This window comes from Homo sapiens, chromosome 15, assembly GCF_000001405.40.
Source record: "Homo sapiens chromosome 15, GRCh38.p14 Primary Assembly".
Lineage (NCBI taxonomy): Eukaryota > Metazoa > Chordata > Mammalia > Primates > Hominidae > Homo > Homo sapiens.
The window spans coordinates 38,971,411-38,984,746 of NC_000015.10; the positions used below are offsets into that span (position 1 = coordinate 38,971,411).

Sequence of the window (13,336 nt, forward strand, 5' to 3'; positions counted from 1 at the left end):
GTTGTTGTTGACAGAAAAACTGCAGAGAAAGGGTAAACTTTGAACTAAGCCTCAGGGATTGAGAGAAATTGCTAGTTAAACTAGAAAGGAAAGCTATTCCGGGCAGGAAAGAACATCCTTTTTAGGAGGATCCCCTTTACTCTTGAAGACAGAGTTAGGCTCTCCTCCCCTGGGCTTCTGCTGTACTATGTATTTATTTCTGTTATCAATATTTATTTGATTGCATAAGTGATATGGCTTGGCTTTGTCCCCACCCAAATCTCATCTTGAATTGTAGTTTTCATAATCCCCATGTGTCCTGGGAGGGACCAGGTGGGAGGTGATTAAATCATGGAAGTGGTTACCCTCATGCTGCTCCTGTGATAGTGAGTTCTCATGAGATCTAATGGTTTTATAAGGGGCTTGCCCCTTCGCTGGGCACTCATTCTCTCTCCTGCTGCCTTGTGAAGAAGGATGTTGTATTAATCTGTTCTCACACTGCTAATAAAGACATAGCCCAGATTGGGTAATTTATAAAGAAAAGGAGATGTAATGGAATCACATTTCCCCATAGCTGGGGGGAGGCCTTACAATCATGGCAGAAGAGGAAGGAATAGCAAAGGCATGTCTTACATGGTGGCAAGCAAGAGAGCATGTGCAAGGGCACCGAACTGCCCTTTATAGAACCATCAGATTTTGTGAGACTTATTCACTATCACAAGAACAGGATGGGAAAAACCTGCCCTCATGATTCAATTACCTCCCACCAGGTCCCTCCCATGGGGATTATGGGAACTACAGTTCAAGATGAGATCTGGGTGGGTACAGAGCCAAATCATATCAGACATGTTTGCTTCCTCTGTCACCATGATTATAAGTTTCCTGAGGCCTCCCAAGCCATGCAGAACTGTGAGTGTATTAAACCTCTTTCCTTTATAAATTATCCAATCTTGGGTATTTCTTCACAGCAGCATGAGAGCAGACTAATACAATATGTTTAACCCCAAATGTCTAACCCTTGGCCAGACACAGGTGGTCAGTCACTGAACACTTGATGAATAAGGAGACGTAATAGAGTGATGAGACAGAAAAGCATGCCTCGTGAAGGCCAAATCCACTATTGATTTGGCACAGTACTAGGTGGTATGGGGCCCACATCCAGTATTTAAGAGAAGATCAAAAAGTTTATTTCTGTGTATAGGAACATCCTTAAACACATGGTAAAATTAATAGCACACTCAGTGCTCTAAGGTAGAACTGTCCCCTAACTATAGAATTGTCCCTCAATTCTAAGGTAGAATTATCTCCAACAATAGGCATTGGGACGGGAAGAATTGGTTTGCAAAAATTTCAGAAGGCTTTATGGAAAAGAGAAGCTGGCAAATGGGCCCTGAAGGACAGATAAGGTTTGTGTGGGAGAAGGAGAAAGGAAGGCCTCCAGGAAGGGTGATCAGGAGTCAAGGAAAGGAACTGTATGGAACATGTAGTGGCAAGTAGCATTTTATGCTTGATGAATAAAATGAGCCATGTGAGGGAATAAAGGCGAACAAGGTAGGACAGATGCAGGCTTTCCAAATAGCAAAAACTACAAAAATCAGACAAAAGCATTTGTACTTAATGAAGCAAATATGTGAAGCATTCCAAGTTCTGAAAGAGGAGAGTGACACGATGACAGTAACGTTTAAGAATGCCTGGTATAAGTTTAGCAGTAGCAGCCAAGAGATTCTGAGTGACTTGATGTCAGGTGTTGGGTCTTATTTATTTGCGGTGTATATTCTGTGACTAGCATAGTGTCTGACACAGCACATTCTTAATCAAGTTTTAAGTTATCCTCCTGCCCATAATTTCCTCATCAGCTAAACCAGGAATAAGAAGGATATAGCAGTAATCCAGGCATAAGCTGATGACAACCATGAATATGGTGGTTTCAGTATAAATACATAAAAAGGGCAAATCTCAAGGACATTTCAAGGAAAGAAATAACAAATCCTCTTGCAAGATTGGAAATTGTGAGTGAAGAGTTTTGAAGTGATGTTTGGATGTCTTGCCTGAAGAAATAATGGTAGCCCTATATAAAATGGGGGTACTTGTGAAGGATCTTGACTGAAAGCTTGAGAAACATGAAGAGTTTGGGTGATGGAAATGTTGAAATTGGTGGGACAACCAGATGTCAAATTTAAGGTCTCCCATGAGCATTTGGAAGTTTGGAATATATGTGAGAAGTCAAGAACGAAGATCATTTCTATTTCTATGAGTGAGGATGGGGGAAAAAAAAAGAAGTAACATAGGGCTTTGAGGAAAATAATGCCTTGAATGAAGTACTTGAGATAAGAATCAAAGCCTGGAAATACTGGCCACAGAGCAAATGCAACTGGAGCCCTCATTGGAGAAATGTCCATTTATGTGGTTATTCAGCCACTGTGAAGACTTAATGGCTTATATAGATTTGTGTCCAACGTGAATTGGTGTGATAACTAAGACTGGAAAGGACTTGTGTTATCAGAGGTCAACTGGATTCTCCTTCATTGAGTTTCCAGAAAATGGACATTTATTACAACAGAAAACTTAGCAATGCTCATGAATGTTCCATGGGTTTTACTGGCCTTTTCATGCCATCAAAAAGAGACCTATACATTTTCCCTTTGCTCAGAGACATGTATGTTAAGACTTCTGCTGGGAGGCCACTTATTTTATTTGGAAATGTATGAACGAAAAGGGCAGATTGGAGTTTTCTAGACAAAACATTGGAATGTTTTGGGTCATACCTGCTTTCATGATGTTGCTAATGTCCTTGGCTTCATTATTCACACCTCCAAAACAATGCTTTAAGCCAATTTGAAATGTTCCTGGGGGTAGAAAAGATTGATAGTTCTGTTTTCTTTCAAAAAACATTTAGCAATTTTAGAAATCTTTCTTTCCAACATGTCATAGCACACCGCATCTTGCCTTTCACATAAAACATATCACAATGCCTCTTATACAACTTTTGGCTGCAAAAGAATGATCAAAATGGAAATTCGCCTCTACTTTAGAAACAAATAGGGTATTTACACGTAAGCCAGGAAAATTTTCAGAAATGTTTACAAATGCCATGGCTAACAAAACAAAAAATAACTGAAGATTTCCATAGAGGCGTGGCTTTCAAACATTTCTGAGAGTAACTTGAGTAAGAAATGCATTTTATATTATTGTCCGACTCTCTGTGTCTCTGTGCACACGTCCATGTGTCACACACACACACAGATGCACAACTAAGACAGTTTGACAAAACAATACTTATCCTTGCTACTTGGGAATGCACTATTCTATATTATCCCAATCCATGGGATAAAAATGAGGCTGATTGTGATTATTAAAATGATTTTATATCTGTAGGCTGAAAAACATTGCTAAATCATTTATATGGGCCTATAAGAAAAATTTATTATTATTATTATTATTATTATTTTTTTTTTTTTTTTTTTTTTTTTTTTTTTTTTTTTTTTTTGAGACGGAGTCTCGCTCTGTCGCCCGGGCTGGAGTGCAGTGGCGGGATCTCGGCTCACTGCAAGCTCCGCCTCCCGGGTTCACGCCATTCTCCTGCCTCAGCCTCCCAAGTAGCTGGGACCACAGGCGCCCGCCACTACGCCCGGCTAATTTTTTGTATTTTTTAGTAGAGACGGGGTTTCACCGTTTTAGCCGGGATGGTCTCGATCTCCTGACCTCGTGATCCGCCCGCCTCGGCCTCCCAAAGTGCTGGGATTACAGGCGTGAGCCACCGCGCCCGGCGAAAAATTTATTTTTTTAAGCTTGGAAATAGGCCATATGTTTTCATCCTAGGGGCACTTTATAGATCATTTTTATCTCCTCATCCCAAATTGGCCATTAGCCTTACTTAGTGGCGAAATACACACTTGGCTATGGGCAGTTTCATCGCCATGCCCACCTTCAAGGAGGGACTCTTTCTTCCAGGTCTCTTATACCAGCCACCACCTCTCTGTCCTTGATTCCCTCTCTCTGCCATGGTAAATTAAGGAGCAACTCTACTCACCTATCCCACACAAACCTTATTACACATCACGGAACTATGTTCCCCCAAAGATTCTATGCCAAATGATAGACTGGTATTTATTTTGCCCACCCCTTAGTCAAATAGCTCTAGTGACTCAAGAGGCAGAGGAATCTAAGAAAGACAGGATGGGAGCAGTGACCCCAGGATTTCTTTTTTTTTCTTTTCTAATTTTAAAAACTGTTTAATTAAAGCACAATATGCATACAGAAAAGTATCCAAATCATTCAGTAATTAATGCAAAATGAATAAATCTATGTAATGACCACGCGGATCATGAAATAATCCCTCCCGCTCAGGATCCTACTCTGTCTCTCTTCCCAACCATTACTTATTAACTACTCCCTAAACAGCTCTATGGTGACTCCTAATGCTTACTGTAATTGGAACTTTATATAAATGGAAGTATGCAACATGTATTATGTTACCAGGCTTTTGCTCAAAAGCATGTATAAGATTCATCCATGTTTGTGCTTGTAACTTTAGCTTTTTCATTGTGTGGAGTATTTCATCATATTAATATGCCACAATTTATTGGTCAGTTTTATTTTTGAGGAACATTTGGGTCATTTCAATTTAGAGTTAATATTAAGGATGTCATGCTCATTCTTAACACAATTTTTAATACACATGTATGCATTTTTGGGGGGGTACATATATTGAAGAATGAAATTGTTGGATTGTTAAAATAATTTTTTTTTTTTTGAGACAGAGTCTCACTCCACCCCCCAGGCTGGAGTGCAGTGGCACAATCTCGGTTCACTGCAACCTCTGCCTCCCAAGTTCACGTGATTTTCATGCCTCAGCCTCCCAAGTAGCTGGGATTACAGGCGCCTGCCACCATGCCTGGCTAATTTTTTCGTATTTTTAGAGACAGGGTTTTGTCATGTTGGCCAGGCTGGTCTTGAACTCCTGTCCTCAGGTGATCCGCCTGCCTCAGTCTCCCAAAGTGCTGGGATTACAGGTGTGAGCCACCATGCCCAGGCTGTTAAAATAATTTAAAGTGAGGAAGTTTACTATATGTAAGTGCTTTTGATCCGTTTGTTAATTTATGTCCTAAATAGATTACTGAATTCATATGTTTCTAATAAATAAACTAAATAAAACATTTAAAAAATCATAATTTAAAGACATGGCAGTTGACGCAGGCAACCAGAATTCTTAAGCAATAACTGAAATAGTAAAACACAAAAATATACCTAATTAAAATCTGGTTTACATATGTAACTAACCTGCACAATGTGCACATGTACCCTAAAACTTAAAGTATAATAAAAAAAAATCTGGTTTTAAGCTATTACTGACCTAATTTTAAAATATAGTCATCAAATAAAAGTCAAAATAAAAACGAACCTATAAGTTTCTTAAATTCTGAAGTAGTCATTTCAAGTAGTAATTTCAAATTGTTTCGTAATTTTTCAGAACTGTCTCTTATAATTCAAGTGAACTTTATTACATTCATTATTTGGTATAAACTTCTTGAACTTTCAGTTCTATATAAGTTAAGCATTATTTGTGTATGTTTTTTAATAGTAACGATTGCTTTTATTTTTGAATATAATTTTCAAAGCTCGACCAGTTATTTTGTATCACAATTATGATTAGGCTTGTATTTTAAAACTTGGTGGTTTTAACTCAATTGTAGATCATTTCATTTTTATATTAAAATCTGTGTATTCATAGGTTATTATGCAGCAGGTCTGTTTCTTGGGAGACAGCTTCTCACAGCTTCTAATGAAGAAGCAGCAAAATAAAACCTAGAGGCAATCTTGCTTGTTTAGGTTTTCTGCAGGGAAAAAAATTAATTTTCTATAGAGATAAGAATTTCTCTCAGATTTTAAAAGAGCATTTTGTTGCTGGACTAGGAATACACTTTGTGGATTTAATTCTCACTTATGTCTTGGGGGGAAAATCAGATGTAAATAGGACCTGAGGCTCTAACATGAAACTCTTAATGACATGTGTAAAAGCTATTTGAGCAAAAAAGGTCCGTACCAAACCATGGCTCAACTGTATTACCAAGCAGCCTAGTCACCTTGCTCATGAACTAGATGGGATTTACTAGGATCAAGCTCATTTATTTAATATTTACTTCAAAACTAGCAGCATCTTCATACTTTTAAAAATTTCCATTTATATTTTAGATTTGGGAGAACATGTACAGATTTGTTAAAGGATATATTGCGTGGTGCTAAGGTTTAGGCTTCTATTAACCTCATCATCCAGGTAGTGAACATAGTGCCCAATAGAAACTTTTTCAGCCTTTGCCTTCCCTCTCCCTCCTTTCAAAGTCCTCATTGTCTATTGTTCCCATCTTTATGTCTGTGTGAATCCAAGATTTAGCTTCCACTTTTAAGTGAGAGCATGTGATATTTGCTTTTCTGTGTCTGCATTAGTTCACATAGCATAACTGCCTCCAGCCACACCCATGTTGCTGTAAAGGGCTTGGTTTTGTTCTTTTCGTGGCCATGTAGTATTCCATGGTGTTTATGTATACCACATTTTCTTTATCCAATCCATCATTGATGGGCACCTAGGTTGATTTCACATCTTTGCTATTGTAAATAGTGCTGCAATGAACATAGGAGTGCATATTATCTTTTTGGAAGAATGATTTATTTTCCTTTGGGTAAATATACTCAGTAATGGAACTGCTGGGTCAAATAGTAGTTCTACTTTTAGTTCTTTAGGAGCTCTCCAAACTGCTTTCCACAGTGGCTGAACTAATTTACATTCCCATAAACAGTATATAAGCGTTCCCTTTTCTCTACAACCTTGCCAATATCTATTATTTTTAACTTTTCACTAATCACCATTCTGAGTGGCTTGAGATAGTACCTCAGTTGAGTTTTAATTTGCATTTCTCTGATGATTAGTGATATTGAGCACTTTTTCATGTATTTGTTAGTGGCTTGTATGTCTTCTTTTGGGAAGTCTCTGTTCATGTCCTTTGCCTACTTTTTAATGGGATTGTTTGTTTTTTTTTCTGGTTGATTTTTTTAAGTTCCTTATAGATTCTGGGTTATTTGTTGGATGCAGAGTTTGCAAATATTTTCTCCCATTCTTTAGGATGTCTGTTTACTCGTTGAGAGTTTCTTTTGCTTTGTGGGAGCTCTTTAGTTTAATTAAATCTCATTTGTCTACTTTTCATTTGTTGCATTTGCTTTTGGGATCTTCATCATACATTCTTTGCCTAAGACAATGTCTAGAAGAGTATTTCCTAGACTTTCTTCTATAATTTTAATAGTTTGACACCATACATTTAAGTTTTTAATCCATATTGAATTAATTTGTGTATATGATGAGAAGTAGGGGGCCATTCTCATTCTTCTGCATATGGCTAGCCAGTTTTCCCAGCACCATTCATTAAATAGGGTGTCCTTTCCCCATTGTTTATTTTTGTCAACTTTGTTGAAGATGAGTTGTTTGTAGGTATGCAGCATTATTTTGGGGGTTTCTATTCTGTTTCATTGGTCTATGTGTCTATTTTTGAACCAGTACCATGCTGCTTTTGTTACTGTAGCCTCATAGTATAGTTTGAAGACCTGTAATGTGAGAAAGGTCTGAAGCTTTGTTGTTTTTGTCTAGGGTTGGCCTTGGCCATTTGTGCTCTTTTTTGGTTCCATGTGAATTTTAGAATAGGTTTTTCTAATTCTGTGAAAAAGTGATGTTCACAATTTGATAGAAAGTGTGTTGAAACTGTAGATCACTTTGGGCAATATGGCCATTTTAACAATATGGATTCTATTAAGCCATGAGCATGGAATGATTTTCCATTTATTTGTGTTATCTATACATTCTTTAAGCATTCTTTTGTAGTACTCCTTGTGGAGATCCTTCATCTTCTTTATTAGATGTATTACTAGGTATTTTATTTTTGTGGACATTGTAAATGGGATTGCATTCTCGATTTGGCTGTCAGCTAGAATGTTACTGATATATAGAAATGCTACTGATTTTTATACATTTATTTTGTATCCTGAGACTTTGCTGAAGTTATTAACTAGCTCTAGCAGTCTTTTGGAGGAATCTTTAGGGTTTTTGAGGTATAGGATCATATTATCAGTGAAGAGAGATAATCTGACTTATTTTTTTATTTGGATGCCTTTTATTTATTTCTCTTGCCTGATTGCTCTGGCTAGGATTTCTAGTACTATAGTGAATAGGAATGGTGAGAGTGGACATCTTTATCATGTTCCAGTTCATAGGGGAAATACTTCCAGCTTGTGCTCATTACATATGATATTGGCTGTAGGCTTGACATAGATGGCTCTTATTATTTTGAGATATATTCCTTGAATGCCTAGTTTGTCAAGGATTTTTATCATGAAGGGATGTTGTATTTTACTGAATGCTTTTTCTGTATCTATTGAGATGATCACATAATTTTTGCTTTTTAAATTCTGTTTATGGGGTGTATCACATTAATTGATTGGCATATATTTAACCATCCTTGCATCCCAGGAATAAAGCCTACTTGATCATAGTGAATTATCTTTTTGATGTGCTGCTAGATTCTTTCCGCTAGTATTTTGTTGGGGATTTTTGCATCTTTGTTCATCAGGGATACTGGCTTATAGTTTTCATTTTCGGTTGTGTCTTTGCCAGAATTTTCGTAACAAGATGACACTGGTTTCATAGAATGAGTTGGGGAAAAGTCTCTCCTCCTAGATTTTTTGGAATAGTTCCAGTAGGATTGGTACCAGCTCTTTTTGTAGAATTTGGCTGACCCATCTCTTCAAGGGCTTTTTTCCTTTTTGATTAGTGGGTTTTTTAAAAAAAATTACTGTTTCAATTTTTTTACTCCTTATTGTCCTGTGCAGGATTTTTCTTCCTTCCTGGTTCAATCTTGGGAGTCGGTGTGTTTGCAGGAATTTATTCATTTTCTCTAGATTTCATGTTTTATGGCATAGAAATGCTCACAGCAGTCTCTGAGGATCTTTTCTATATTTGTGAGATTGGTTGGATGTCACCTTTGTTAACTTTGTGCTTATTTGGATTTTTTTTGTTGTTGTTGTTGTTAATTGAGCCTAGTGGTCTATATATCTTGTCCTTTCAAAGAATAAACTTTTCATTTTAATGATTCTGTTTGTGTTTTTGGGGGTCTCAATTTCATAAAGTTCTGCTCTGATTTTAGTTATTTTCTTCTGCTAGCTTTCGGTTTTTTTTTTTTTTTTTGGTCTAGATTCTTCAGGTGTGAAATTGAATTGTTAATTTAAGATATTTCTATCTTATTGATGTAGGTGTTTAGTGCTATAAACTTTCCTCTTAACACTGCTTTTCCCATATCCCAGAGGTTTTGGTATGTTGTGTCTATATTTTCATTTGTTTCAAAGAACTTTTTGATTTCTGCCTTAATTTTATTGTTTACTCAAAAGTCATTCAGGAATAAGTTGTTTAATATTCATATATTTATGTGGTTTTGAGTTCCTCTTGGTATTTATTTCTATTTTTATTCCATTGTGGTCTGAGGAGATGCTTGGTGTAATTTTGATTTGTTTGACTTTACTCAGACTTGCTGTATGGCCAAGGATATGGTCAACGTTTGAGTATGTTTCATGTGCAGACGAGAAGAATGTATATTCTAGTTTTTGAATGTAGTATTCGGTAGATGTCTATTAGGTTCGATTGGTCAAGTATTAGAGTCCAGAGTTTGTTAGTTTTCTGCCTCGATGATGTGTTTAATGCTGTCAGTGTTGTGTGGATGTCTCCCATTATTATTGTGTGGCTACCAGAGTCTTAAGTTTAGAAGTAACTTTTTAATAAATCTGGATGCTCCAATGTTGGATGCATATTTATTTAAAACAGTTAAGTCTTTTTGTTGAACTGAAATTTTTATCACCATGTAATGTCCTTCTTTGTCCTTTTTTACTGTTGTTGGTTTAAAGTCTATTTTATCTGATACAAGAATAGTGAATCCTGCTCTTTTTGGTTTTCCATTTGCTTGATGGATCTTTCTCTACCTTCCCTTCTTTTGACCTTATGGGTGTTTTTATATGTGAGATGGGTCTCTTGCAGATAGCAGAAGTATGGGTTTTGTTTTTTTAAATCCAATTTATCACGCTGTGTCTTTTAAGGGGGGCATTTAGGCTGTTTACATTCAATGTTAATTTTGACATGTGAGGTTTTATCCCTGTCATAGTGTTAACTGGTTGCTTTGTAGTCTTGGTTGTGTAGTTGCTCTGTAGGGTCTGTAGGTATGTGCTTATGTGTGCTTTTGTGGTAGCAATTATTCTTTCATTTCTATGTTTAGAGATCACTTAAGCATCTCTTGTGGGGCTGGTCTGGTTGTGACAAATACCCTTGCTGATTGCTTATCTGGAACTTTATTTCTTCTTTGTTTATGAAGCTTAGTTTGACAGGATATGAAATTCTTGAGTGGCATTTCTTTTCTTTAAGAATGCTAAAACTAAGCCCTCCATGTCTTCTGGTTTATAAGATTTCTGCTGAAAAGTCCACTGTTAGTCTGATGGGTTTCTTCTTTTTAGGTAATATGACCCTTTTCTCTAGCTGCCTTTACAATTTTTTGTTTTGTGTTGACTTTGAATAGTCTGATGACCATGTACCTGGAAGATTGTCATCTTGTATAGTATCTCACAGGAGTTCTCTGGACTTCTTGTATCTACATGCTAACTTTTCTAGCAAGATTGCGGAGGTTTTGCTGAATTATAACCTCAAATATGTTTTCCAAGTTGCTTACTTTCTGTTCTTCTCTCTCAGGAATGCCAATACATCATATATTTGGTGGCTTTATATAACTTGATATTTCTCAAAGGCTTTATTGATTTTGCTTTAATTCTTTTTTTCTTATTTTTGCCTGACTGGGCAGGTTTGAAGAATCAGTCTTCAAGCTTTGAAATTCTTTATTCTGCCTGGTCTAGTCTGTTGTTAAGGCTACAGCTGTATTTTGACACTCCTGTAGTGAATTTTTCAATTCTAGAAGTTTTGTTAGGCCTTTTATCTTATTTTTAACATATCTATGTTGTCTTTCAAATCTTGGATCATTTTGTTTTGTGTGAGATTTCAACTTTTGCTTGGATCTCATTGAGTTTCTTTGCCATCAATATTATGAATTCTATACATGTCATTTCAGACATTACATTCTGGTTAGAGTCCATTATTGCTTGGGAGCTAGTGAGATCCTTTGGAGGTGACAAAATACTCTAGCTTTTTGTATTTCCAGAGTTCTTGTGCAAATGAGAAGAAATCTCATTTGAGAGAGCTGATTCTTCCTTTTAAAAAAATGCTAATGTTTGTATGGGGCTTTTTAATTTTTTTAATTCTTTTTTCCTTTGGGGGTATGACTGTGGTATATCTTGTGTAAGGTCTATTGGGTTTGTTTCTGGATGCTTTCAGGGTGCCAAGGCTCTGTATGTATGGGTTCCTTGGTTGTGGACAAGTTCATGTAGTGGCTTTCTCCGTGGTCACTTGTGGCAGTGATGTAATTTTGTTTAGTAATTATTATTGTGTGGCTACCAGAGTCTTTTTTTAAGTTTAGAAGTAATTTTTTTAGTAAATCTGGATTCTCCAATGTTGGATGCGTATTTATTTAAAATCGTTAAGTCTTTTTATTGAATTGAAACTGCAGTCCATTAGGTGGCAGTTAAGAGTAAGAGCCAGCCAATAAGGGCAGGGCAAAGGGAATGGAGAAGCATGAAAAGCACCCTTCCCCAGCATACATTCTTCACCTTCAATGGGGTTGGAACCACTGTATAAGCCTAAGAAGCATTTTCTTTCACCCCACACTCCCTGTGCTCTGATAAGAGCCACTGTTGAGCCTGCAAGAGTGCACAGAGTAAGGAGGCCAGAGGGTGAGAGATGACAGCCTCTTCATATCCGTTTCTGGGTTATGGTGGTGCCGCCTTCAGCAGCTGGTGCTGTACTTGCATTTCCTTGGGCACAAGGGGGGCTTTGGCAGGCTACACTCCCCTCTCCCTTAGGAACAGACTATGCTGAGGGTTAGATCTCCAGTGCTGGGTGTTTTTAGTGGCAAAAGAAAAGTTCACCGGTTATAGCCTCTGTAGGATGGCTTATCCAAGTGCTGGTTTCAGTAGTGATGTACTGGGCATGTGAGCAGACTCACTACATCCCGTGGGGTTAAGGTGGCTGTGGTCACAGGAGGTGTATCTTGTTCCCTAGTGCTGTGTGCTTGTGACAGATTTCCTATTATGTTATGTTGTTCAACCTCCAGGCCAATAGGTGGCTCTTATGGGTTAGAGCTGGCTACAGCCAACGTGGAAGGGCATATACTTGATCCTTTTTTACTGGGAGAAGCTCTCTGTTGGCTCAGGCAATGGGCTGATCTGTGAAGTGCACAGTGGTCTAAGCTCCCTGTTCAGCCCTGGATGGGGGCGGGGGGCGGGGAACCAAGATGTGCAGGCCCTCCTAGGAATCTTCCCAATGGTAGGCACAAGTGCCAGTGCTGACGGAGAATCCAGTGGGTGGCCACCAAGTGCCTAGAGGTTTGCCTAGGTATGGACCTGGGAAACCTCCTCAACCCCAAGTTCTCTGCATGGGGAGGAAGGGAGGCCTAAACTCCTAACCAGGTGCTACAAGTGCCTGGAGATCTGCCTGGACAGGGAGCGGAGAGGGCCTTGCTGCACCACAATCTGTGCACAGGAAGGGTGGGGCAGCTCAGGTGGCTAATTCAGGCAGCAAGTGCTCTGAATGCCTGGAGACATGCCTGGGAGTAGAGTGGGGAGGGCATCAGTGCCCCACAGTCTACACATAAGACGGGTGAAGTGGCTAGGCTGCTGATCCAGGGCATGCTAGAAGGGGGCATATTGAAGCTAATTTTAGCAGGTTTGGAGTTTCTTGTGGAGGAAGATAGAACATTTCTGGAAATAGATAGTGGTAGTGGTTGCACAACATGGCAAATACACTAAAGACTACTGAATGGATACCTTAAAATGGTGAATTTTGAGTTTATTCAAACTTTAATAAATTTAGTATATCGCAATAAAAATACTATCAAAAAAGAGAGGTAAATAAATTCTAGTTCATCTAACTTCTGCCTTATCACAATGGCTGTTATGTGACTAGATATTTCTAAAGATCTTAAAGTGATTTGTTATCTATGTAGATTAAATTTATAAATATATATATGTATGTGTATATATATATATTTGCTATTCTGTAATTTGCCAAGCTCTTCCCTATTATATGTCTTATAACAACTTTAAAGTTAGACCACTTCATGTAAAGGAAATTTCACTGTTATGAGTAACTAATCTACTTTAAGCAGTGGGTGAGGGTGCGTGTATCCATGCATATGCTAACGTGTGTGTAGTAGTATTTTCACTACTTGGC

The 13,336-nt window shown here is 37.8% G+C and overlaps 1 long non-coding RNA gene across 3 annotated transcripts in view; it reads right to left on the reverse strand.

Moving 5' to 3' along the window:
- LOC105370777 (uncharacterized) overlaps positions 1-13,336 on the reverse strand; it is a 556,255-nt gene that overhangs the window by 106,605 nt on the left and 436,314 nt on the right. For all 3 annotated transcript variants that reach the window (XR_007064588.1, XR_007064587.1, XR_007064586.1), the window contains one exon: positions 2,745-2,825. This is a non-coding gene — a long non-coding RNA (uncharacterized LOC105370777). The remainder of the gene's footprint in view (positions 1-2,744; positions 2,826-13,336) is intronic.